The 26370-nt window shown below is 37.4% G+C and overlaps 1 protein-coding gene across 6 annotated transcripts in view; it reads right to left on the reverse strand.

The window, feature by feature from the left end:
• ROCK2 (Rho associated coiled-coil containing protein kinase 2) overlaps positions 1 to 26370 on the reverse strand; it is a 165679-nt gene that overhangs the window by 81181 nt on the left and 58128 nt on the right. For all 6 annotated transcript variants that reach the window (NM_001321643.2, XM_011510417.3, NM_004850.5 and 3 more), the window contains exon 3: positions 25600 to 25700. In NM_001321643.2, the coding sequence (NP_001308572.1) occupies positions 25600 to 25665 (66 nt within the window). In that variant the 5' untranslated portion in view covers positions 25666 to 25700. The remainder of the gene's footprint in view (positions 1 to 25599; positions 25701 to 26370) is intronic.

Genomic DNA, 26370 nt, shown 5'->3' on the forward strand with positions numbered 1-26370 from the left:
AATCTATTACTTGTGAACATGTCTACTTCATACGCTCCTTTAGGAATATAACACATACTTTCATTTGTGAGACTGCGTAGTGGCTGGCACAATGCTAAATTGACTAATTCAACAAAATCATATATCTGTAGGATATCTACAAAACTTTAGAATATTTTGGCTACATGTTCTAGTTCATAGGGCCTGAATTTCACTTAAACTGCTTTGACAGGACAGTTCCTGGCTCATAAATCAAGAGCTGGGAACCATCAGCTTGTGGTCTTTGACATAACTTAATCTACAGAGCAAACATTAAGAGGCAATAAGCTTATTTATGCCAAATATCTATACCATACCTTTATAATTCGTTAGCAGTCATGTTACAAGTACCACAATAAAGTGCTATTACTTTAGCAAAGCTGGTTTCCACTGATTATCCTTTGAGGATGTCTCTTTCCAAGTTATTTTATTATTATTTTCCTCAGCATCTCTGTAGATTTCCCTTTATTCTTCAACTCCTTCTCCTTTATTCAATACAGATGGACACACAGATGAACAGTCAGATACAGTGACTGTTCATTATCACACCATACAGAGTAATGTTTAAAAGCATGGATTTGCCGGGCTTGGTGGCTCATGCCTGTAATCCCAACACTTTGGGAGGCTGAGGCGGGTGGATCATGAGGTCAGCAGTTCGAGACCAGCCTGACCAACATGGTGAAACCCTGTCTTTACTAAAAATACAAAAATTAGGCGGGCGTGGTGGCAGGCACCTGTAATCCCAGCTACTCAGGAAGCTGAGGCAGGAGAATCGCTTCAACCCAGGAACCCAGGAGACGGAGGATGCAGTGATCCGAGATCACGCCATTGCACTCCAGCCTGGGTCACAGAGCAAGACTCTGTCTTAAATAAATAAAGAAAGAAGTAGCAAGCGTGGATTTAAATGTCAACAAACCTGGGCAAACTCCTAGCTGTTTATGAACTATGTGGCCAATTTATCTAATCTCTAAATTTCAATGGCTTCATCTACATCATATCATAGAGTTATTGCATAGATAAAATGAGATAATGGCTATAAATATTCAGCACACAGAATATCCTCAATGAAAATGTTAGCTGACTCCACCACAGACAAATGGAATTTAGCTCATTCTGTTATGTAGTATGACATGAATTTCCCGTCACTAGTCTATGAGTACCTAAAGGATAAAAACGTTGCTCCTATTACAGTGTTTCTCTTTGTATAGAAAAGATTGCTACATCCCTTGTTTTTAATTTTAAAAGTGGATGAGTGTAAAAACACCATCTAACTGGCTATACATATGAAAAAAAACAAAGAACAAAAAAATAAATAATGGTCAAAAAGTTAACAGGGGTTATAACATAACTGATAAAATCTTTGGTAATTTTTATTCTTATTTTTATTTGTACTTTCTGAAGCTAATATGTAGAGCTTAAAAAAAACTTAAATAGATGAGACATTCCTAAGTGTAGCCAGAGACATACATGGTGATATGGTGTGGCTGTGCCCCCAAACAAATCTCATCTTGAATTCCCATATGTTGTGGGAGGGACCCAGTGGGAGGTAACTGAATCATGAGGGCAGGTCTTTCCTGTGCTGTTCTCATGATAGTAAGTAGTAAGTCTCATGAGATCTAATGGTTATTATAAGGGGGGAGTTTTCCTGCACAAGCTCTCTTTGCCTGCTGCCATCCATGTAAGATGTGACTTGCTGCTCCTTGCCTTCTGCCATGATTGTGAAGCCTCCCCAGCCACGTGGAACTGTAAGTCCAATAAACTTCTTTCTTTTGTAAATTGCCCAGTCTCGGGTATGTCTTTATTAGCAGCATGAAAACAGACTAATACACTTGGAAAATCCTAAAATGGACCTCCTCAAACACTTATGGACAAAAACTTTTGAACATCATTCTAAGTAAAACACCTCATTTGAAATTTTCAAATTTATTTTTATTAACAAAAATATATTATTTTTATAAGAAGATCCAATGAATCTACTTGACAGACCTGGAGCAGTTACTGTTTCTACCATAGATACACAAAAAAAATGTTCTCACATTTTCTGTTTGTGGCAGCCAAGATCAAATGGGGGATACAGAAATTACAAAAACATGTTGAGAGATAATTTTTGCAACTTAGAAATAACCCTGTAAACAGTGAAGAGCCTGTTTTATTCCAAAAAAGGAATTAAAAAGTTGAGTTTACATGAGTAGCATTGGAAAATCATGCCCCCAACATCCTTGCCTCCTGGTTGGTTCTACTTTAAAAGCCTGGCTTAAAACTAAATTAAAAGCCAGTGGATGCCCAGGAAGCAATAAGCCCAGTGATCAGGAAGGATCACAGTCAATTCTTCAATGAAAACTTTCTACATTCAAGTTTCTGTGCTATACAGCATACTGAAAGACAAGAAAAATCTAACTCCAGATATGATCTGGTTGCACACACACACATTAGTTACCAATGTCTGGGTTGAACTGACAAATGCCTACAGTAAGGGTTCTCCTTTTCTTCCTGCTGCTCTACAGATATTCCTCCAAAACTGTGTTCCTGACTAAGTAAGATAATCTTCCCGATACAAGTGAACTATGTAGAACAGCTATGAATCCCTGATGTAAATGCCAAAAGTACTTGAAAGACACAGTTCCTGCATCCAAAGTTTTACATTATTAAAAAAAAAAAAGAAATCAAAGTATATATATAAACTATAGCACAAGGCACACACACACACACACACACAAAAAAAAACAAAGAGCATGCTCTGAAATGAGCAGCCTGACTACAATGAATAGCTCAGTGGAAGATAAGGGTTAAAGTTTTTTTTTTTTTAATTGGCAACACCTTAAAAGGCAGCCTGGAGGGCCAGGATGAAGTTTTCATAGTTCATTTGGTTGGAAAAAGATCCATTGAATATACAGCAGAGATAGTACATAAATATATTTTATAAGGTCACCTTGACAGCAGTTTATATTAGTCAGATCAGATGTAGAATTCCCATTTTTTATCTAACTCAATATAAGGAGGTGGGGAAATAAAGAAAAAAGATGAAAAAAAAAAAAACATGTATGCTAAAAAGCTCCACTCTTAATTCCACTACACATAAACCAGGAATGGGGATAGGAGTAATACATGAGAACGCAAGGATATTTCAAGCAGGAGGAAGATGGTCTGCTAAATAGTAATGTCAGTCTAACTGAGCTTGGATAGTGTGAATTTATAGATGTAATAAGCAGAGTCCTGACACTGTCTTTATCAGCACTTCACAACCTAAGATTAATAGTAACAATGGTGAAACACTGTTAGCAGAAGTGGAAAATAGAATGCAAAGCAGGTGTTCATACATAACTGGATAACGATGGAGTGGCCTGATGAAGGTGATGACAGTAAAAGTGGATGGACTGGAGAAATATTATGAAAGCAGAAACAGGACTTACTGAAAAATTAACTATAAGAGTTGACAGAAAAAAGAGTAATCAGTGATGACTCCTAATTTTTTGACTTGAACAACTAGGTTGATGCAAGAGCCATTTACTACGATCAGAAAGAGAAGGAACAGATTTGTGGAGGAAGAACAAAGTTAGAGAGGGAATCAAACATTCTGATTTCACACATTTTAGAGATCTATGACACATCTTCATGAAGATGTCAAATAAGCCACTGTGGATATGAGTTGGGGAGCAAAGTAGAAAGTTCCGAGCAGTAACTGTAAATTTGAGCATTGCCATTATATAAACTGTATTTAAAGTCACAGGAATGCATGAGCTTACCTTAAGAAGGCAAATAAACAAAGAGCCTGGCCATTGGAAACTACAAATTTAGAAGTCAGGTAGAGAATGAACCATGAAGGAAACTTAGAAGGAAGAGCCTGTAAAGAAAAAATCCTTTCAAGAAATGAAGATATGTGAATATTACTAAGAGTTTGAGTGAGATGAAAGTGAAATACTATACAGCCAATACAAGTACAGGTGAAGTCTATATTTATTGACATGGAAAGATGGTTATGACCATATGTCAAAGAGAACACACTCTGGAATCCTCTGCCTAAATTCAAATCTCATTTCAACCACTTAGCAGCTATGTGAACTTTGGGGGTTATTTATCCTAACTACGTGAGTTTAATTTTCCCATCTGTACAATGGGCATAATAGTAATAATACTTACCTGAAAGGACTGTTGTGAAGACCTAGGTTACTAAATACAAATGGATTAAAAGTCTGGCTGGCATGTTACAACTGCTAAAAGAGTGTATGCTACCATTTATTACTACATTAAAAAACACAAATTACAAAACTATGTATATAATGATCCTTTAAGACTTAAATATATTACATTTATCTTCAGAAATGGGCAAGTTGGAAATCTAGATATCAAATTAATAAGAGTAGTTCTCTCTCAATTCTAACACTACAGGTGAATTTTAAAAATATAACGTTGGCTTATTTTCTCATTATTCTACTGTGAACATATTCATCATTTACATAATTCTTAATTTCAAGGGAAATTTTCATAACTCAATAGCGAAAAGTTTTAAACTTTCCTAGAATGAAAATGATTAGGAGAAAATATAAATACCCACTGAAAATAATTCAACATTAGTTTTGCAACAGTCTCCAAATGTCTGTAAATCACCAAGCAGTGAAACGATACAAAAAGGGTGGTTACCTTTATGTTTGAAAATGGTAATAGGGAGAAAGAAACATGATAAATGGAGGTTTTAACACGTTTTTCCACCTAATTCTAAGCAATTTAGACCTTTGTGAATGAGAATGCATTCATATATTAAATTCCATAGTTTAAAATAAAACAGCGACCAGGAAAAAATTTAATGTCACTTAACATTTTTCTTAGGAATAAGAAGTAAGCAGGGGGATTACACAGTGGGATTGCAGGATTACTCACACCTGTAATCCCAGCAATTTAGGAGGCCAAAGCAGGAGGACTGCTTGAGGCCAGGAGTTAGAGACAAGTGTGGGCAACACTGGGGGACCTTGTTTCTACAAAAAAAAAAAAAAATTCAAAACTAGCCATGTATGGCGGTACACACCTGTGGTCCTTTTTCTATTTTTAGATTTTTAAAGCTTTCTTATTGAAAACTAAAACACGCACGCCCACTAGCATAGGCCTACAGAGGGTCAGGATCATAAATATCACTGTCTTCCACCTCTACATCTTGTCCCACTAAAAGGTTTTCAGGCGAAATAACATGAATGGAGCTGGCATTTCCTATGGTAACAATGCCTTCTCCTGGAATCCCTCCTGAGGGACCTGCCTGAGGTACTTCTTGAGGAGGTGTCACTTTTTTCAGAAATATGTTCATGGTGGTTTGTTGGGCTTGTTTCTTTTCTCACTATTGAGTTGCATGAGTAATGTGTTGGAACTACGGCATTAAGATGGCTATGACCTTAAGACAGCTGACATTACTAGGTAAAAGGAATTTTTCAGCTCCATTATAGTCTTTGGGGACCACTGACATATATGCAGTCTATCATTTACCAAAACACCATAATGCTGCGCATGACTGTACTGTGCAATACCTACTGTGACATACTAAAGTTACTTGTACAATGAGAATTCTATCTGTAGAAATTGGCAGATCCTCTGTGGTAATGCATTTTTAACTTGAAATGAAAAAGTATTTCACATAAAAGGACAAATTTGCACCAACTATTATAAAACTTTCTTCAAATGTCTACAAAAACATACTCATAAAGATGTGCCAAATGTGGAACAGTCCACACATATCCGCCATACTAATTTATTTACTGTATACGAATCAACTTTAAAAGGCTATGAAAGAAGCACCTGCACTTCTCCTTTGGATTCTTATCCTTATTTTAAAGAATCTCTACATAAAGTAAAACAGAACCAAGAATTAAAGCTAAAACAAACATGCTATAAACTCTTGGGTCAGGTCATCAGATTAATGGAATGTTAAAATATTTTTCATTTCTAAAAATTAAGACTTTCTTTCTGCATATTTTGTAGCCAAAACAAATTTTGAGATGAAAAATTAATGATAAAAACAAAAATAAAAGCCTTCTTTATTTATACATCTTCCTTTTTCTTCTCTTTCCTTTAACAGATTAAATTGTAATGATCAAATTAACACAGTACAGTGAATATCCTGCCATTAAGACATGATAAATCAAGGTCTGTCATATTCCTTCCAAATTTCAACTCCAAATTCTGTATCTCTTCCATAACTACACAGGTATGCAGAAACAATGCATCTGTTTAAAATATTTACAGCATGAATCTATATACCAATAGGCAATAATACAATTAACCCTTAGGAAGCACTTTGACCAGGCTTATTTATATTATTAATCCCCCATAATGACTCCCATAAGATAGGTATAATTATCTCTATGCTATAGGTGGGAACTCAGAAAGACTCACGCCTGTGGTCACCACGATCTCTGAGTTAGAAAATGGAAGAGCTAGGATTCAACTACTATATATTTTCCCTATCTTTAGGCTCTTCTATAACTCAACTGTCATGTCATCTAATCTCCCACTCTCCCGACCACAGTACCAAAATTCTAAAAGCCAAAGCTTCACCATTTTCACATACAAAAAAAAAAAACCAAAAACCAAAAAACACAAACAACAACAAAAACCCCGAACAATAACAAAGCTTCATTGCTTTCTGAGGCAGTCCTCTCCTCAAATGTACCCCAAATGAAACTTTCAATTCTCTCAACCTCAGACGGCATTGTTCAAGTCCCCTGAGCGCCATACCCCTTGAGTATATCCTATCAATACGCCTTTTTTTTTTTTTTTTTTGAGATGGAGTCTCACCCTGTCACCCAGGCTGGAGTGCAGTGGCACGATCTCGGCTCGCTGGGACTACAGGTGCACGCCACCAAGCCCGGCTAATTTTTTATATTTTTAGCAGAGACGGGGTTTCACTGTGTGAGCCAGGATGGTCTCAAACTCCTGGCCTCAGGAGATCTGCCCGCCTCAGCCTCCCAAAATGCTGGGATTACAGGTGTGAGCCACCGCGCCTGGCCCCAATATGCCTTTTAAGACAGGGCAACAGGTTTCTGGTTCCACAGATAAGGAGCTTGGAAATCACCATCCATCCTACCAACAAATAAAATGCTGAAGAGACTGAAAAACCAACAGTGCTTCCGGGATCCAAAAGACAGGGGAGAACACCAAGCAAACCACTGACCCCAAACTAGAGAGACAAACAAATAAAGGGAGCCATGGCTACAAGATCCAAGATTCACAAGCAGAAATTGCCACAGGAACCAGTGCTGAGGTAGGAAACCTGAGCTGTAACTGACAAATTGCTGGGGGCTAAGTGGTGGTCAAGTCAGAAAATTAAAAACTTTGAAAGGGACCCAGTTATAGGTGAGACCCCACACCTTTACAGATTTTATATCCAAGAGCTCAACCAGAGTCTCACAGTAAATATTGGAGAAAAATCCCCTCACACTTCCAAGAGGGTTAAAGGGAAAGGAACATTTTGAAATATGCCACAGCATTCGCTTCTTAAGGTCAGCCCTCCGGATGTAACAGTTTTACTGTGTGTGTGTGTTTTTTTCCTTGTGTGTGTGTGTGTGTATTTAACAGTTTTGCACTGTGTGTGTGTGTGTGTGTGTGTGTGTGTGTGTGTCTCTGCATTCACAGATGACTTTTTTTCTATCAGCCCTTTGAATATATTGGCCCACTGTCTCCTGGCCTCTGAAATATTTGATGAGAAATCTATTCATAATCTATTGAAGATTCTTTGTATGTGACAAATCACTTCTCTTTTGCTGCTTTCAAATTCTCTTTGTAATTTTCAAGTGTGACCGTAAGATTTCTCATTGTAGATTTCCTTGAGTTCAAGTTCATTTTAGTTGGATTTTGTTGACTTTCTTGGATATTCATGGCTTTCATCAAAATTCGGGAGTTTACACCCATTCAAATATTTTGTCTCTTTCTTCTTCTGTTACTCCCACAGTATCTATTTTGTTCTATTTGAATGTGTCCTACTCATACCCCTTAGACTCTGTTCACTTTTCAATCTGTTTTCTTTGTTCCTCAGACTCAGTAATCTTCATTTTACTATATACAAGTTTGCTGATTCTTCTGCCGGCTCAAATCTGCCCCTTTGACTCCTTTTAGTGTTTTTTATTTCAGTTATTGTACTTTTCAGCTCTAGAAATTTTTTGGTTTCTTTTTAGGTTTTCTGTCTCTTTACTGATATTTTCATATTGGTCATACATCACTTTCGTGACTTTCTCTACATCTTCCTTTAGTTCTTTGAGCATCTTTTGGATAGCTGTTTTAAAGTCTTTGTTTTGGCCAGTAGTGGTGGCTCATGCCTGTAATATCAGCACTTTGGGAGGCTGAGGCAGGCGGATCACCTGAGATCAGGAGTTTGAGACCAGCCTGGCCAACATGGCAAAACCCCATCTCTACTAAAAACACAAAAACTAGCCAGGTGTGGTGACAGGCGCCTGTAATACTAGCTACTCAGGAGGCTGAGGCACGAGACTCTCTTGAACCGGGAGGTGGAGGTTGCAGTGAGCCAAGACTGCACGACTGCACTGCAGCGTGGGTGACAGAGCAAGACTCCATCTCAAAAAAAAAAAAAAAATCTTTTTTGAATGGATCGGCCATATTGGCCATCAGGTCTTTTTCAAGGACGGTTTCTTTTGATTTGTTTTTGTTTTCTTTGAATGGCCTATATACATTTTCCTGTTTCTTCGGATATAAGACATATTCTGCCGGTGTGATTGTTGTCCAGGTAACGAAAGAGATTCCTCTTGCTTGTTACTCCCCTCTCTTTTCAGAATCCTCTCTCTCCCCATCATTTGTGTTTGTGTGCTTTTTCATTAAGAGATGGGGTCTTGCTCTGTCACCCAGGCTGGAGTAAAGTGGTATGATCATGGCTCACAGGAGCCTTGACCTCCCAGGCTCAAGCAATCCTGCCACTTCAGCCTCCAGAGTAGCTGGGACTACAGGCACATGCCACCACATATGGCTAATTATTTTTAATTTTCTCGTAGAGATGGGGTCTCACTATGTTGCCCAGGCCGGTCTCAAACTCCTGGCCTCAAGCAATCCTTCCACCTTGGCCTCCCAAAGTGCCAGGATTACACGTATGAGCTACTGCACCCAGCCACCCCATCACTTTTGAAGGATAATTTCCTAAAGTGCAGAATTCTAGATTGGTAATTTTGCTTTCTTTTTTATTCGCAATTTTGCTTTCTTTTTTATTCTCAATACTTTAAAAATTTTATTCCACTCTTTTTGCTTGCATGGTTTCTGAGGAGAAGTCAGATAAAATTCTTATCTTTGTTCCTGTATAGGTAAAGTGTGGTTTGTTAGGCTTTTTCTTCTCTTGGCTTTCAGGCTTTTTCTTATGCTTGGTTTTCTATAGTTTGAAAATGATATTCCTAAATCTAACGTTTAAGACATTTATTCTGCTTTCTGTTCTTTGGGCTTTCTGGATCTGTGGTTTGGTGTCTGACATTAATTTGGGTAAAATTTTCACTATTATTTCAAATGTTTCTTCTGTTGTTTTTTTCTTCTTCTTGTATTCCCATTACACATATTTTACACCTTTTCTAGTGGTTCCATGGTTCTGTGATAATTCTGTTCTGATGTTTTCAGTCTTCCCTCTACATGCTTTCAGTTTTGGGTGTACCTATTGATATATCCTGAAACTTAGAGATATTTTATCAACCTTGTTCAGTCTAGCAATAAGTCTATCAAAGGCACTTTTCATTTCTGTTAAAAGTGTTTTTGATCTCTAGAATTTATTTTCACTTGTTCCTTAGGATTTCTATCTCTCTACTCACATCACCACTCTATTCATGCATGCTATTTTATCCATTAGCATATTAATCAAAGTTCTTTTAAATTGCTGGTTTGATAATTTTAGTGTTCCTACCATGTTTGCTTCTAATGCTTACTGTCTCTTCAAAATCTTTTTTCCTGCCTTTTAGTATGCTTTGTAATTTTTCCTTGATAGCGGGACATGATGCATTGAGTAAAAGGAACTTCTGTAAATAGGTCTTTAGTAATATAAGGTGTAGAGTGAGGCAATGTTTCCTATAGTTTTAGGTTCTACAATCTTGTGGGCAGTGTTCTATAGTCTTATGATTAGGTCTCAGCGAATCCTTATGCCTCTATACTGTGAACTTTAAATGTGCTTCTGAGTCATAGGATGGCTAGTGTGGGCTGGAGTTGTGTATTAACCTTCCCCAAGTTCCATTATGCTCTGGTTACATCTGGAGGGCAGGCCTTGTTAAGAAGCAAATGCTGTGGCATATTTCAAAATGTTCCTTTCCCTTTAATCTTCTTGGAAGCATGAGGAGATTTTTCTCCAATATTCACTGTGAGACTCTGGTTGAGCTCTTGGATATAAAATCTGTAAAGGTGTGGGGGCTCACCTATAACTGGGTCCCCTGCAAGTTTTTAATTGTCTGACTTGACCACCACTTAGCCCCCAGCAATTTGTCAGTTACAGCTCAGGTTTTCCTACCTCAGCACTGGTTCTCGTGGCAATTTCTGCTTATGAATCCTGGATCTTATAGCCATGGCTATTTGTTTGTCTCTCTAGTTTGGGGTCAGTGGTTTGTTTGGTGTCCTCACCTGTCTTTTGGATCCCGGAAGCACTGTTGGTTTTTCAGTCTCTTCAGCATTTTATTTGTTGTTAGGATGGATGGTGATTTCCAAGCTCCTTACTTGTGCAACCAGAAACCTGTTGCCCTGTTTTAAAGGGCATATTGATAGGATATACTCAAGGGGTATGGTGCTCTGGGAACTTGAAACAATGCCATCTGAGGTTGAAAGGACTGAAAGGTTCGGGGCTGGGCGCGGTGGCTCACGCCTGTAATCCCAGCACTTTGGGAGGCAGAGGCGGGCGGATCACAAGGTCAGGAGATCGAGACCATCCTGGCTAACACGGTGAAACCCCGTCTCTACTAAAAAAATTAGCCGGGCGTGGTGGCGGGCACCTGTAGTCCCAGCTACTCGGGAGGCTGAGGCAGGAGAATGGCGTGAACCCGACAGGCGGAGCTTGCAGTGAGCAGAGATCACACCACTGCACTCCAGCCTGGGAGACAGAACGAGACTCCATCTCAAAAAAAAAAAAAAAAAGTAGAATTGAAAGGTTCATTTGGAGCAGATCTGAGGAAAGGACTGCCTTGGAAAGTGACAAAGCTTTGTTATTGTTTGACTGGGTTTTTTGGTTGTTGTGTTTTCCCTAAACTGACAGGAAAGTTAAGACATTAACAGATAAACAAAAATTAAGGGAGCTTGTTACCAGTAGACCTGACCTGCAAGAAATGGTCAATGAAGTCCTACAGGGTGAAATGAAAACACACTGTTTAAACAGTAAGTTGAAGTCATGTGAAGAAATAAAAATCTCAATAAAGGTAAATACACACACAATTATAAAGTCCAGTATTACTGTAATAATGGATTATAATTGCACTTTTTGCTTTCTACATGATTTAAAAGGCCAATACATATTTTTAAATTATTAATCTAAAAGCTAGTATTATTGAAACTTTGTTTCATAAACCCATTTTGTTCTATATAAAAAATTGATGCATTTAAAGTGATTAGTTTATGGTTTGGGGCACATAATGAATAAGGAGGTAATTCTGTGACAGCAACTGGAAAGGGTGAGGGCAGAGCTGTTAAAGAAGCAGAGCTGGCCGGCTGCAGTGGTTCACGCCTATAACCCTAGCACTTTGGGAGGCCGAGGCAGGTGGATCATTTGAGGTCAGGAGTTTGAGACCAGCCTTGCCAACATGGTCTCCACTAAAAATACCAAAATTAGCCAGGCACGGTGATGGGCACCTGTAACCCCAGCTACTCGGGAGGCTGAGGCAGGGAAATCACTTGAACACGGGAGACAGAGGTTACAGTGAGCCAAGATGGTGCCACTGCACTCCAGCCTGGGCGACAGAGCAAGACTCTGTCTCAAAAAAAAAAAAAAAAAAGAGCAAGAGTTACTGTATATTCTTGAAGCTAAGCTGGTATAAATTGACATCTGAATTTTTATAAGTTTAGGATGTTAAATGTAATGCCTATGGTATCTACAAAGAAAACAGAATACATACTAAACAAATTGAGAAAGAATGTAAACATACCACTATAAGAAAATGAACTGAACACAAAAGCCAAGAGAAATGCAGGAAATAAGGGTCAAAAAAAAAAAAAAAAAAAAAGCTTTACAACATATAGAAAACAAATAGCAAAATAACAGAAATAAATTCTTCTTCCCAGTAATGACATTCAATGTAAGTGAGTTAAACTCTCCAATCAAAAGACAGAGATTGGCAGAATGAATTAAAAAAAAGATCCATCTATGCATTGTCCATAAGATAATCACTTTAGATCCAAAGACACAAACTGATTGATAGTGGAAGGATGGAAATAGTAACCAAAAGAGAGCAGAAGTGGCTATACTAATATCAGACCAAATACACTTTAAATCAATAAAGGTTACAGGAAACAAAAAAAAACATTATATCTTAATAAAAGTTTCAACACAGTAAGAAGACACAGCAATTACAAACATTTATAGACCTAGTAACAGACCATCAAAATATATGATGCAAAAACAGAACTGAGGGAGAAATAGACAGCTCTATAATAATAGTTGGAGACTTTCATTCTCTATTATCACTTAATAGAATGGAGTATGGAAATACAGTAAAGAAACAGAGGACTTAACACAATAAACTAACTAGATCTTAGGGATATATACAGAACACATAATAACATATATAATATTCTCAAGTGCACATGGGACATTTTCCAAAACAGATCATATGTCAGGCCACAGACTAAGTCTCAAAAGATTTAAAAAGATAGACATACAAAGTATATTTTCCAACCACAATGGGATGAAGTCAGAAATCGATAAAAGACAGGAGGCTGAGGCAGGAGAATGGCGTGAACCCGGGAGGTGGAGCTGGCAGTGAGCCGAGGTTGCGCCACTGCACTCTAACCTGGGTGACAGAGCAAGACTCCATCTCAAAAAAAAAAAAAAAGACTTCGATAAAATAACTACAATGAGAAAATCCACAAAAACATGGAAATTAAACAACACACAAATAACCAACGAATCATATAAGAAATCAGAAGGGAAATTAGGAAATACTCCAGAGACAAATGAAAACAACACAACAAAAAACTTAACGGAATACAGCAAAAGTAGTATATGGGAGAAATTTATAGCTATAAATGCTTACATTAAAAAAACGAGAATGATCTGAAATTAAAAACGAAACTTTACAATTTAAGAAACTAGAAAGAGAAAAACAAACTAAACCCAAAGCCATCAGAAGCAAGGAAATAATAAAGATTAGAGCAAAGATAAAACAGAGAACACAACAACAACAACAACAACAACAAAATCAATGAAACCAAAAGTTGGTTCTTTGAAACAATCCAAAAGAGTCACAAACCTCTGGCTAGATGGACTAATTAAAAAAACAGAGAATGCTCAAATTATTAAAATCAGAAATAAAAGTGGGGACATTACTACCCACTTTACGAAAATTAAAATGATTAAGAGAGTACTCTGACCAATTCTATGTTAACAAATAGAATAACTTAGATAAAACAGACAAATTCCTAGAAACACAAAATCTACCAAGACTAACTCACACAAAAAACCAGAAAATATAAATAGACCTACAATTAGTAAAGAGATTGATTCAGTAACCAAAACTTTCCTGACATAGAAAAGCTCTTTACCTAATGGCTTCACTGGTGAGTTCTACCAAATATTTCAATAACATCAATCATTCTCATACTTCTCTAGAAAACTGAAGAGGAAGGAACACCTCCTAACTCATTCTATGAGGCCAGCATTACCCTGATACCAAGGACAGATAAAGACATCACGGTAGTCCCCTCTTATCCTCAGGAAATACATTCCAAGACCCCAGTGGTTACCTGAAACCATGGAGAGTACTGAATCCTATATATATATTATGTTTTTTCCTATACATACATATCTATGATAAAGTTCAATTTATAAACTAAGCAACAGTAAAAATTAAGAATAATAAGAACAGGCCGGGAGCAGTGGCTCATGCCTGTAATCCCAGCACTTTGGGAGGCCAAGGCGGGCAGATCCCCTGAGGTCAGGAGGTCGAGACCAGCCTGGCCAACATGGTGAATCCCCATCTCTACTAAAAATACAAAAATTAGCCAGGCGTGGCGGCAGGCACCTGTAATCCCAGCTATTCGGGAGGCTAAGGCAGGAGAATCGCTTGAACCCGGGAGGCAGAGGTTGCAGTGAGCCGTAATCGTGCCATTGCACTCCAGCCTGGGGGACAACAGCGAGACTTCATGTCAAAAAAAAAAAAAAAAGAATTATAAGAACAATTATACAATATACTTTAATAGAAGCTATATGAATATGGTCTCTCTCTCTCTTTCAAAATACCTTATTGTATGTAATATTTTCAGACCCTGGTTGACTGCGGGCAACTGAAATTGTAGAAAGCAAAACTACAGGTAAGGGCAGGTGACTGTACGAGAAAACAACTATCAACCAGTTTCACTTCTGAAAATTAACAGAAAGATTCTCAACAAATTACTAGCAAACTGAAATCAGCAGTATATTAAAAGGTTTCCACATCATGACCAAGTATGATTTATTCCTAGAATCCAAGGATGGTAAAACATGTGCAAATCAATCGCTGTATTAAACCACATTAACAGAATAAAGGTAAGCAACACATAATCATTTCAATTGAGGGAGAAAACACATTTCACAAAATTCAACAATCTTTTTTTTTTTTTTTTTTTTTTGAGACAAAGTCTTGCTCTGTCACCCAGGCTGGAGTACAGTGGTGCAATCTCAGCTCACTGCAACCTCCACCTCCCGGATTCAACAGATTCTCCTGCCTCAGCCTCCCTAGCAGCTGGGATTACAGCTGCCTGCCACCACACTCGGCTAATTTTTGTATTTTTAGAAGAGATGGGGTTTCACCATGTTGACCTGGCTGGTCACAAATTCCTGACCTCAGGTGATCCGCCCACCTCAGCCTCCCAAAGTGCTGGGATTATAGGCGTGAGCCACCGTGCCCTGCCTCAACACTCTTTCATGATTTACAAAAAGAAAACACTGAACAAACCAGGAGTAAAAGAAAACCACCTCAACGTAATAAACTACATATGTGAAACACCCACGTGAATATCATACTCAATAGTGAAAGTCTAAAAGTTTTTCCGCTAAGATAAAGAACAAGAAAAGGCTTGTGCCACTTCTAGTCAACATAGCACTGGAAGTTCTAGCCAGAGAAATTAGATAATAAAAAATAAATAAAACTATCTTTGTCCATAAGTGATTTATGATCTTTTATGTAGACAATCCTAAAGATCCCACCTCCCAAAAAATGTATTAGAATAAGTTAGGCAAAATTGCGGCATACAAAGTCAACACTCAAAAGTCAATTATATTTCTATACACTAAAAATAAACAATCTAAAATGAAAATTACAAAAACAATTCCATTTACAATAACATCAAAAAGAACATTTAGGAATTAACTTAATTGAAAGAGACATCTAATAAAAACTACAAAACACTGCTAAAAGGAATTAAAGAAGACATAAGTAAATGGAACCCAGTCCCTTGTTATTAGACTGGAAGACTTAGTATTGTTAAAATGACCATTACCCAAAACAACCTAGAGTCAATGCAAACCCTGTAACTCCAATGATGTTTCTTGCAAAAATAGAAATAGAGGAAATAAGTGAAAGTAAAACAAAAACTGTTATTTTCATGTTCTTAACTGATCTAACAAATAAATTTGTTCAAAATAATAACAGCAACAATATATTCAGTAACATATGCTTGTCTGTATGTGTACTGGTGTGTGTGTATGTATACATATATATGCACAAAATGAATAACAGCAATGATAGACGTAACAGGAGGAAGGAATTAGGATTATTTTGTTATTATAAGGTATTTTACACCCCCCGTGAAGTGGTATGCTGTGATTTGAAAGGGGACTTGGATAAACTGTGAGTATATTTCTTTTTTCATGTTTTTATTAATAGACTTTATTTTTTAGAACAGTTTTAGGTTTACAGAAAAACCGAATAGGGTACACAAATTTACTATATACTCCCTGTCCCCTTCTCTTTTTCAGTTTCCTCTAATATTAACATATTACAGGAATGCATTAGTGTGGTACATTTGTTACAACTGATAAAGCAATATTCATACATTACTATTAACGAAGTCCAGAGTTCACATTAGGGTTCACTGTTTGTGCTATACAATTCTATGGCCTTAGCAGATAAAATGTTATGTATCCACCAATATGGTAACAGACAGAATAGGTTCACTGCCCCACAAATCCGCTGTGCTCCACCCATTCACCCCTTCACAACCTTCTGGCAACCACCAATCTTTTTTTCCCCCATAGGTTATAGGTTATTGGGGTACAGGTGGTGTTTAGTTACATGAGTAAGCTCTTTGATGGTGATGTGTAAGATTTTGGTGCACCCATCCCCCAAGAGTATACACTGCACCCTATTTGTAGTCTTTTATCCCTTGCACCCCTCCAATCATTCCCCTCAAGTCCCCAAAGTCCACTGTATCATTCTTATGCCTTTGCGTACTCATAGTTTGGCTCCCACATATCAGTGAGAACATACGATATTTGGTTTTGCATTCCTGAGTTACTTCACTTCGAGTAATAGTCTCCAATCTCATCTAGGTCACTATGAATGCCGTTAATTCATTCCTTTTTATGGCTGAGTAGTATTCCATCATATATACATAGCACAATTTCTTTATCCACTCGTTGACTGATGGGCATTTGGGTTGGTCCCAAGATTTTGCAATTGTGAATGGTGCTGCTATAAACGTGTGTGCAAGTATCTTTTTCGTATGACTTCTTTTCCTCTGGGTAGCAAGCACTAATCTTTACTGCTTCCAAAGTTGTCTTTTTCCAGAATGTCTTATGGAATCATAGAGCATGATTTACAGGCAGGATTCCTCATTTAGCATTTGAAGTTCCTTTCATAAAAATTTTATTTTTTAATTGACAAAAACTGCATATATTTATGGTGTTCAACATGGTGTTTTGAAGTAAGTATATGCTGTAGAATGGCTAAAACCAGCTAATTAACATATAAGCATTACCTCACATACTTTTAATTTTCTGTGTTGAGAACAGTTAAAATCTATTCTTTTAGAGATTTTTTGAAAATACATTATTAACTACAGTCACTATGTTGTACCATAAATCTCTTTAACTTATTCCTCCCATCTAACTGAAATGTTGTATCCTTTGACAAAGATCTCCCTAGCTGCTGGTAACCACCATTCTATTCTCTACTTCCATGCACTCAGCTTTTCTGGATTCCACATATAAGTGATATCATGTGGTATTCTTTCTGTGCCTGGGCTAATTTCACTTAATACAAGATCCTCCAACCATCAATTATCTATGTTGTTCCAAATGACAGGATTTCTTCCTTTTGTAAGGCTAAATAGTATTCCATTGTTTATACATACCATATTATCTTTCTTTATCCATTGTTAGACACTTAGGTTGATTCCATATCTTGGCTCTTATGAATAATGCTGCAATGAACATGAGAATGCAGATACCTCTACTAAATAATGATTTCACTTCCTTTAGATATATACCTACTAGTGGAATTGCTGGATTGTAAAGGTAGTTTTATTTTATTTTGGTTTCTTAAGACAGAGTCTCACTCTGTCGCCCAGCCTGAACTGCAATGGTGCGATCTTGGCTCACTGCAACCTCTGCCTCCTGGGTTCAAGCGATTCTCCCACCTCAGCCTCCCAAGTAGCTGGGATTACAGGTGCCTGCCGCCACGCCTGGCTAATTTTTTGCATTTTTAGTAGAGACGGGGTTTTGCCATGTTCGCCAGGCTGGTCTCGAATTCCTGACCTCAGTTGATCCACCCGCCTTGGCCTCTCAAAGTGCTGAGATTATAGGCATTAGCCACCGTGCCCAGCTGGTGGTTTTATTTTTAATTTTCTCAGAAATGTAAATAAATATTTAAAACTCTAGGGCAAACACTAAAAAAAAGGAAAAAAGTAGACAAACACTATAAAAAGCAAAAAAAAAAGTATAAACAATCTGCTAAGAAAGGAGAGAAAATGAAATCACATTAAATGATCAGTTAAAACCAAAAAAGACAGAAAAAGAATGGAAGACAAAAATAGGAACAAGAATATAGGCAACAAAAGAAAACAACAACAAATATGGTAATATTAATTCAGCTATATCAACAATCACTTTGAATGTCACAAGTCTAAATGGACCAATTTAAAAACAGAGATTGAGTGAATCAAGAAAAAAGACCCAACTATATTTTTTCTATAAGAAACTCACATTAAATATAAAGACACATATAGATGAAAAGTAGATGGATGGAAAAAAATATACCATAACAATAATCAAAAGAAAGCAGAAGTAGCTATATTAATTTCAGACGAGCAAACTTCAAAGCAAGGAAAGTTACCAGCGATAAAAAAGGGCATTACATAACTGATAAAAGGATCAATTCTCCAAGAGGACATAACAATCATCAATGTGTTATATGTCTATCAACAGAGTGTCAAATTACATGAGGCAAAAGCTGATAGAACAGCAAGAAGAAAGAGATAAATTCACTATCATAACTGGAGACTTTGACACTGCTCTATCAGAAATGGACAGATCCAGCAGGCAGAAAACCAGTTAAGAATATAGTGGAACTCAACAATACCATCAATCAACTGGATATAACTGACATCTATAGACTACTTTATCCAACAACAGCAGAATACACATTTTTCTCAAACTCTCATGGAACGTTCACCAAGATAAATCACATTCTGGGCCACGAAACACACCGTAACAAACTTCAAATAGAAATCATACTGTGTCTATTCTCAGATCACTATGGATTTAAACCAGAAACTGGTAACAGAAAGATAACTAGAAAATCCCAAAATATGTGGAGATTAAACAACATAATTCTAAATAACTCTTGGGTCAAAGAAGGAATCTCATGAGAAATTAAAATATATTTTGAAATAAATGAAAATAAAAACAAAACTTTTCAAAATTGGTGGGATACAGTGAAAGCAGTGCTTAATGCACATATCTAAAATCAATAATCTGAGTTTCCAACTTAGGAAACTAGAAACAGAAGAAACAAATTAAATTCCAAGTAGGCAAAAGAAAATAAATAATAAAAATTAGAGCAGAAACCAAGGAATAGAAAACAAGAATACACAAAAATCAATGAAACTAAAAGCTGGTTCTTTGAAAAGACCAATAATATTGATAAGGCTCTAGCCAGGTTGGCTAGAAGAGAGAGAATAAAAACTGCCAATATCAGAAATGAAGGAGGGAAAACCACTAAGGATTCCACAGACATTAATAAGGATAATAAGGGTCCGGGTGCAGTGACTCATGCCTGAAATCCCAGCACTTTGGGAGGCCGAGGCGGGCGGATCACCTGAGTTCAGGAGTTCTAGACCAGCCTGGGCAACATGGTGAAACCCCATCTCTACAGAAAAAAAAAAAAAAAAAATTGAGCCATTCATGGTGGTGCACACCTGTAGTCTCAGCTACTAGGAGGCTGGGGTGGGAGGATCACTTGAGCCCAGGAGGCGGAGGTTACAGTGAGCTGAGATTACACTACTGCACTCCAGCCTGGGCAATAGAGCAAGAACTTGTCTCAGTGAATGAATGAATGATAACTCTATGCCCACAAATTTAATAATTTAGATGAAATGGACCAATTCCTTCAAAGACATAATATGCCAAAACTCATACAAGAAGAAACAGACTTACTGTTATTAAATAAATTAAATCAATAGTTATTAACCTTCCAAAACAGAAAGCATGAGGTCCAGATGGATTCAGTGGTGAAATGTACCAACTATTAAAGGAAGAAATTATCTATAATGTATTTTAGAGGACAGATGTAGAGGGAATATTTCCAGAATCATTCTACGAGGTCAGCAAAAAACTTGACAAAGATATTACAAGAAAACTACAAACCATTATCTCTAATGAACACAGATGCAAAAATCCTCAACAAAATATTAGCCAATCAAATCCAACAATGTATTATGCGGTGTAAAAGAATTATACGCCACAACCAAGTGGGATTTATTACAGGTATACAAGACTGGTTCAACATTTCAAAATCAATTATTGTAATCCATCACACCAACAGGCTAAAAAAGAAAGACAGATGATCATATCATAGATGCAGAAAAAGCATCTGACAAATCCAACACCCACTCATTATTTAAAAAAAAAAAAAAAAAAAAAAACCTCAGTACATGAAGAATAGAGGAACTTCAACTTGAATATCTATAAAAAATCCACAGCTCACTTCATGTTTACTGGTAAGAAACTAGCTTTCCCACTAAGATCAAGAACAAAAGCAAGGACATTTCCTCTCACCAATCCTTTCCATCACTGTACTGAAAGTCCGAGGTAATGCAATAACACAGGAAAAGGAAGTAAAGCGTATACAGATTGGGAAGGATCTATGTGATCATCTATGTAGAGGATTCGAAAGTTTCCTGGAACAAGTCATTATACCAAGTTGCAAGACAGAAGGTTAATACACAAAAGTTCATTGCTTTCCTGTAGATGAGCAATGAAAAAGTGGAATTTGAAATTAAATTCTGTATATGAGCAATACATATGAAATTAAATTCCTCTATATGAGCAATGAAAAAGTGGAATTTGAAATTAAATTCTGTATATGAGCAATGTATATGAAATTAAATTCCTGTATATGAGCAATGAAAAAGTGGAATTTGAAATTAAAAACACAGTACCATTTACATTAAAGCACCTACAAAAATAAAACAGGCATAAATCTAACTAAACATGTATAAGATCTATATGAGGAAAACTACAAAACTCTGATGACAGAAATCAAAGAACTAAGCAAATGGAGAGACAGTCCATGTTCTTGGATGTGAAGACTCAATGTTGTCAAGATACCGGTTCTTCAAATATAGACCAAGTTGGTCTATATTTTCAATCCAATCACAAAAAAAACCCCAGTAAGTTATTTCACGGATATTGACAAACTGATTCTAAAGTTTATATGGAGAAGCAAAAGACCCAGAATAGCCAACAAAATATTAAAGAACAGTCAGGTGCAGTGGCTCGCACCTGTAATCCTAGCACTTTGGAAAGCCAAGGCAGGTAGATCGCTTGAGCCCAGGAATTTGAGACCAGCCTGGGCAGCATAGCAAAACCCCATCTTTACTAAAAATACAAAAATTAGCCAGGAGTGGTGGCACACGCTTGTAGTCCCAGCTACTCGAGAGGCTGGGGCAGCAGGATCACCTGGGCCCAGGAGGCAGAGGTTGCAGTGAGCCAGGATCACACCCCTGCACTCCAGCCTGCGCAACAGAGGAAGATGCCGTCTCAAAAAATAATAATTAAAAATAAATAAGGAAGAACAAAATGGGAGGGATGAAACTATCCAACCTATAGACTTACTATAAAGCTACAGTAATCAAGACAATGTGATATTGGTGAAAGAAAAGACAAATAGATCAATGAAACAGAATAGAGAGCCCAGAAATAGACCCACATAAATATAGTCAACTGATCTTTGACAAAGGAGCAGAGGCAATACGATGGATTGAACAAATGTTGCTGGAATAACTGAATATCTACATGCAAAAAAAAAAAAAAGAATCAAGACCAGACCTTATATCTTCTAGAGGATAGCATAGGAGAAAACCTAAATTATCTTGATTAGAGCAATGGTTTTTTAGATATAGCACCAAAGACATAACCCAAGAAAGAAAGAACTGATAACCTGAACTTCACTAAAATTCAAATTGTCTACTACTCAAAGACAATGTCAAGAGGATGAGAAGAAAAACCAAAGACTGGGGGAAAATATTTGAAAAACACCCACCTGACAAAGGTCTATTATCCAAAAGAATTTGTTATACAAAGAACTCTCAAAACTAAACAATAAAAAAAAATAAACAACCCAATCAAAAAATGGGCCAAAGACCTGAACAGACACTTCATCAAAGAAGATATACAGGCTAGGCGTGGTGGCTCATGCCTATAATCCCAGCACTTTAGGAGGCCAAGGTGGGCAGATTGCCTGAGGTCAGGAGTTTGAGACCAGCCTGGCCAACATGGTGAAACCCCATCTCTACTAAAAATACAAAAAATAGCCGGGCATACTGGCAAGTGCCTGTAATCCCAGCTACTTGGGAGGCTGAGGCAGGAAGAATCACTGGAACTCAGGAGGCGGAGGTTGCAGTAAGCCTAGATAGCGCCATTGCACTCCAGCCTGGCGACAGAGACTCCGTCTCAAAAAAAAAAAAAAGAGGCTGGGCGCAGTGGCTCACGCCTGTAATCCCAGCACTTTGGGAGGCCGAGGCGGGTGGATCATGAGGTCAGGAGATCGAGACCATCCTGGCTAACAAGGTGAAACCCCGTCTCTACTAAAAATACAAAAAAATTAGCCGGGCGCGGTGGCGGGCGCCTGTAGTCCCAGCTACTCGGGAGGCTGAGGCAGGAGAATGGCGTGAACCCGGGAAGCGGAGCTTGCAGTGAGCCGAGATTGCGCCACTGCAGTCCGCAGTCCGGCCTGGGCGACAGAGCGAGACTCCGTCTCAAAAAAAAAAAAAAAAAAGCAAGAAAGAAAAGAAAAAAAGGAAAAGATATACAGATGGCAAATAAGTATATGAAAAGATGTTCCACATCATATGTCATCAGGGAAATGTCAAATTAATAAGGAGATACTGTTAAACACCTAATCAAATAACCAAAACACTTGTTTTTTGTCAGTTATAACAGCGACAAGACCAAATGCCAGGGAGGATGTGAAGCAAGAAGAATCTTCATTCATTGCTGGTAGGAATGCAAAGTGGTACAACCACTTTAGAAAACAGTTTGGCAGTTTTTTAGAAAACCAAATACACTCTTATCCTATGATCCAGCAATCAAGATCCTTGGTATTTAACCAAATGAACTGAAAATTTATGTCTACACAAAAGCCTGCATATGGATGTCTATAGTGCTTTACTCATAATTGTCAAAACCTGGAGGCAATCAATATGCCCTTCAGTAGGTGAATGGATAAACTTTGGTACAGCCAGACAACAGAATATTGTTTAGTAAAAAGTAATAAGCTAAAGGATCACAAAAAGACATGGAGAAACCTTAAATGCATATTACTCAGTGAAAGATGACAATCTGAAAAGGTTGCATACTGTATGATTCCAATTACATGACATTCTGGAAAAGGCAAAACTATGAAAACAGTAAAAAGAGTGACTGCCAGAGACTTGGGGCTGGGAGATGAATAGGCACAGCACAGAGGATTTTTGGGGCAATGAAAATACTATGTATAATAGTATAACGATGGGCATATATCATTGTGCACTTGGCCAAACCTATAGGATGTACACCACCATGAGCAAGCCCTAATGTAAACTATGACAATGGGTGAGTATAATGTGTCAATGTAAGCATCAGTTGTAACAAATGTACTCTAATGAGGGATGCTGACAATGGAAGTGTCTATGCACACGTTGGGGCAAGGGGTATATGGGACATCTCTATACCTTCCTCTCGATTTTACTGTGAACCTAAAAGTGCTCTTAAAAAAACTAAAGTCTTTTTTTAAAAAAACAGGCCAACAGGGCATCTAGAATAAATAAAATATTACAGGTATGGTCCATCAATTTCTATCAATTTAGAAATTATATTAAAGCAGCCCCAAATTTCTTTACTACTTTAGGTAGTCTGATCATTAATGACTCTTGCCTGCTTACAATCCAAGGAAAATGGTTCTTTAATTAAGACAGTACTGTTAAGCAACTATTCCCTGTGTTCTTCACATCCAAGTACTATATTCTGGTTCAATTTCACTTCTATCTGGCCAATGTTCTTTCCCATTGATGATTTCTGAATTTTGGCTCATCACCTAAAATCATCCTCATTATACTTCAGGTTTAACTCATTTGCAAAATTATTCAACGTGCTACCATTGCTCCCAAACAAGTCATTAAAATGTTTAATAGGAGGCTGGGTGCAGTGGCTCACGCCTGTAATCCCAGCATTTTGGGAGGCCGAGGCAGGCGGATCACCTGAGGTCGGGAGTTCAAGACCAGACTGACCAACATGGAGAAACCCTGTCTCTACTAAAAATACAAAATTGGCCAGGCGTGGTGGTGCATGCCTGTAATCCCAACTACTTAGAAGACTGAGGCAGGAGAATTGCTTGAACCCGGGGGGTGGAGGTTACGGTGAGCCGAGATCGCGCCATTGCACTCCAGCCTGGGCAACAAGAGTGAAACTCTGTCTAAAAAAAAAAAAAAAAAAAAATGTTTAATAGGAGAAGAGGGACCCTGAAACCTTTCTTGGAGGTCTCTGTCCCATGTACCATCCATGCTTTCACCAGCCTCCTTGGAATAAAACTAGTACATTAGTTATAAAGCTTGCCTACCCATACAATTATTACTGTGCCATTTCATCATATTATCCTCAAGTGTGTCAGACTTCTTCAGAAGAATAATATTCTTCTTATGGATATGTATTACATAAATTGCACTACCCTGATCTACAAGTCCAATAAACCTATCAAGAAAGGCACAGTGAGGTGTCTCATGCTTGTACTCCCAGCACTCTGGGAGGCCGAGCAGGTAGATCCCTTGAGTCCAGAAATTCAAGATCAGCCTCGGCAACATGGTGAAACCCCATCTCTACATAAAATACAAAAAATGAGCTGGGTGTGTGGCACATGCCTATAGTCCCAGCTTCTTGGAGGGCTGAGGTAGGAGAACTGCTTGAGCTTGAGAAGTCAAGACTGCAGTGAGCCAAGATTGTGCCACTGCACTCCAGCCTCAGTGACAAAGCAAGACCCTGTCTCAAAAAGGAACAAAAAGAAACAAAAAACCCAAAGAAAGAAGCAATGAAAGGAAAAAAAAGTCTATCATGACTTGTTCTTAACAAAATCCATGCTGGCTTATAATGATCACTACTTTTCTTAGTGCTCCATCAAGAGGGGTAAACGCTGTAGTGTGAAGAAGAGAATTTGACTCTAATTTAACTATAAGGACAATAATAGAGGAGTTTCATATACTCAGGTGATGAAAACAGGAATACGAGATTAGGAAGAGTTCCAAAGCCAATAATATAAAGGTAATAGTTATTGTCAACATTTCTTATAATTCCAATTGGTACCAGTATGGCCTGCGAAAATAAATTTCAGATTTAATTTCAGTTATTAAAATTTATCTGTTAGGTTTCTTATACATCTAAATAAATCTCAGTTCCTTAAGCAGATGTTTTTAATCTGAACATTCTAAATAAAAATACAACAGTTCTGGTGGAATAGTAACTGCTAGGCAGATCACATGTGAAGCTATATTGGCCTTATTTTCTACAATGTGTTTCAGAGCTGGAAGAGACCCAGAGTAGACAACAAAGGCTTCCTTTTATAGATGAGGACACTGACCAAGATCACAAAGCCACCTTCTGGCATGGGTGGGCATAGAAATTAGATCTACTCAGCTGCTATTGATAATGCTTCACAAAACCATGATGTCATAGAGAACAATAAGAACAAAACACTTTCTTACCAACTGCACTTCACCAAAAGCACCTCTTCCAATAACTTTTACAACATCATAGTCTTCTGCCTTCATCTGTAGACCTCTGATTTTTTTCACAATTTTCTCATCTACCATAAAAAGATCACCATACTTATAATATCAATCATATTTATATTTTTACATAATCAACATTTATAAATATATTTTTGTTTCAAGAAAAGACAGTTTTTAGCTAAACTTGCCAGTTTTTAAAGGCTGTTAGTTAAAAATCTAAGATATACATTAACGTTAAAGAACCAAAACTCTCTATGGTTTATTAACACATATAAATGAACACCACTGACTGCCAAAAAGTAGCAGTTACAGCTATTCTGTTTCTGATTCTGTTGCTTAGCAAGTTAGATGATAGCTGACACAGTGATGACCCAAGCAATCCTGGTGTGCACTCTGAATCATGGCAGAAAGTTGCCATGAAATTACTTGCAAGGCTAATCTTAGTAATGAATTTTGATGGCCTACTTCTCTGAAAAGTGGTAATCATACTATATAAATAGTAACTATAGATAAGATTGTTTAATTGGGAAAATACCTCAGTCTCTGCCAATTTCAAAGTAAAGAGCTTACTGTGATGATACAATGTATACATTAATTGTTTTGAGAATTTCTTATTCTTGGAATTCAATTTCACTTACTTCTGCATTGCAACATTAATAATGGCAAAGATTAAGGGTTACCACACATATGGTAATAATAGTTACATTATTTATTATTAACTAGTCTGAAATGTCCACAATTACA

Source organism: Homo sapiens, chromosome 2 (genome assembly GCF_000001405.40).
Source record: "Homo sapiens chromosome 2, GRCh38.p14 Primary Assembly".
Classification (NCBI taxonomy): domain Eukaryota; kingdom Metazoa; phylum Chordata; class Mammalia; order Primates; family Hominidae; genus Homo; species Homo sapiens.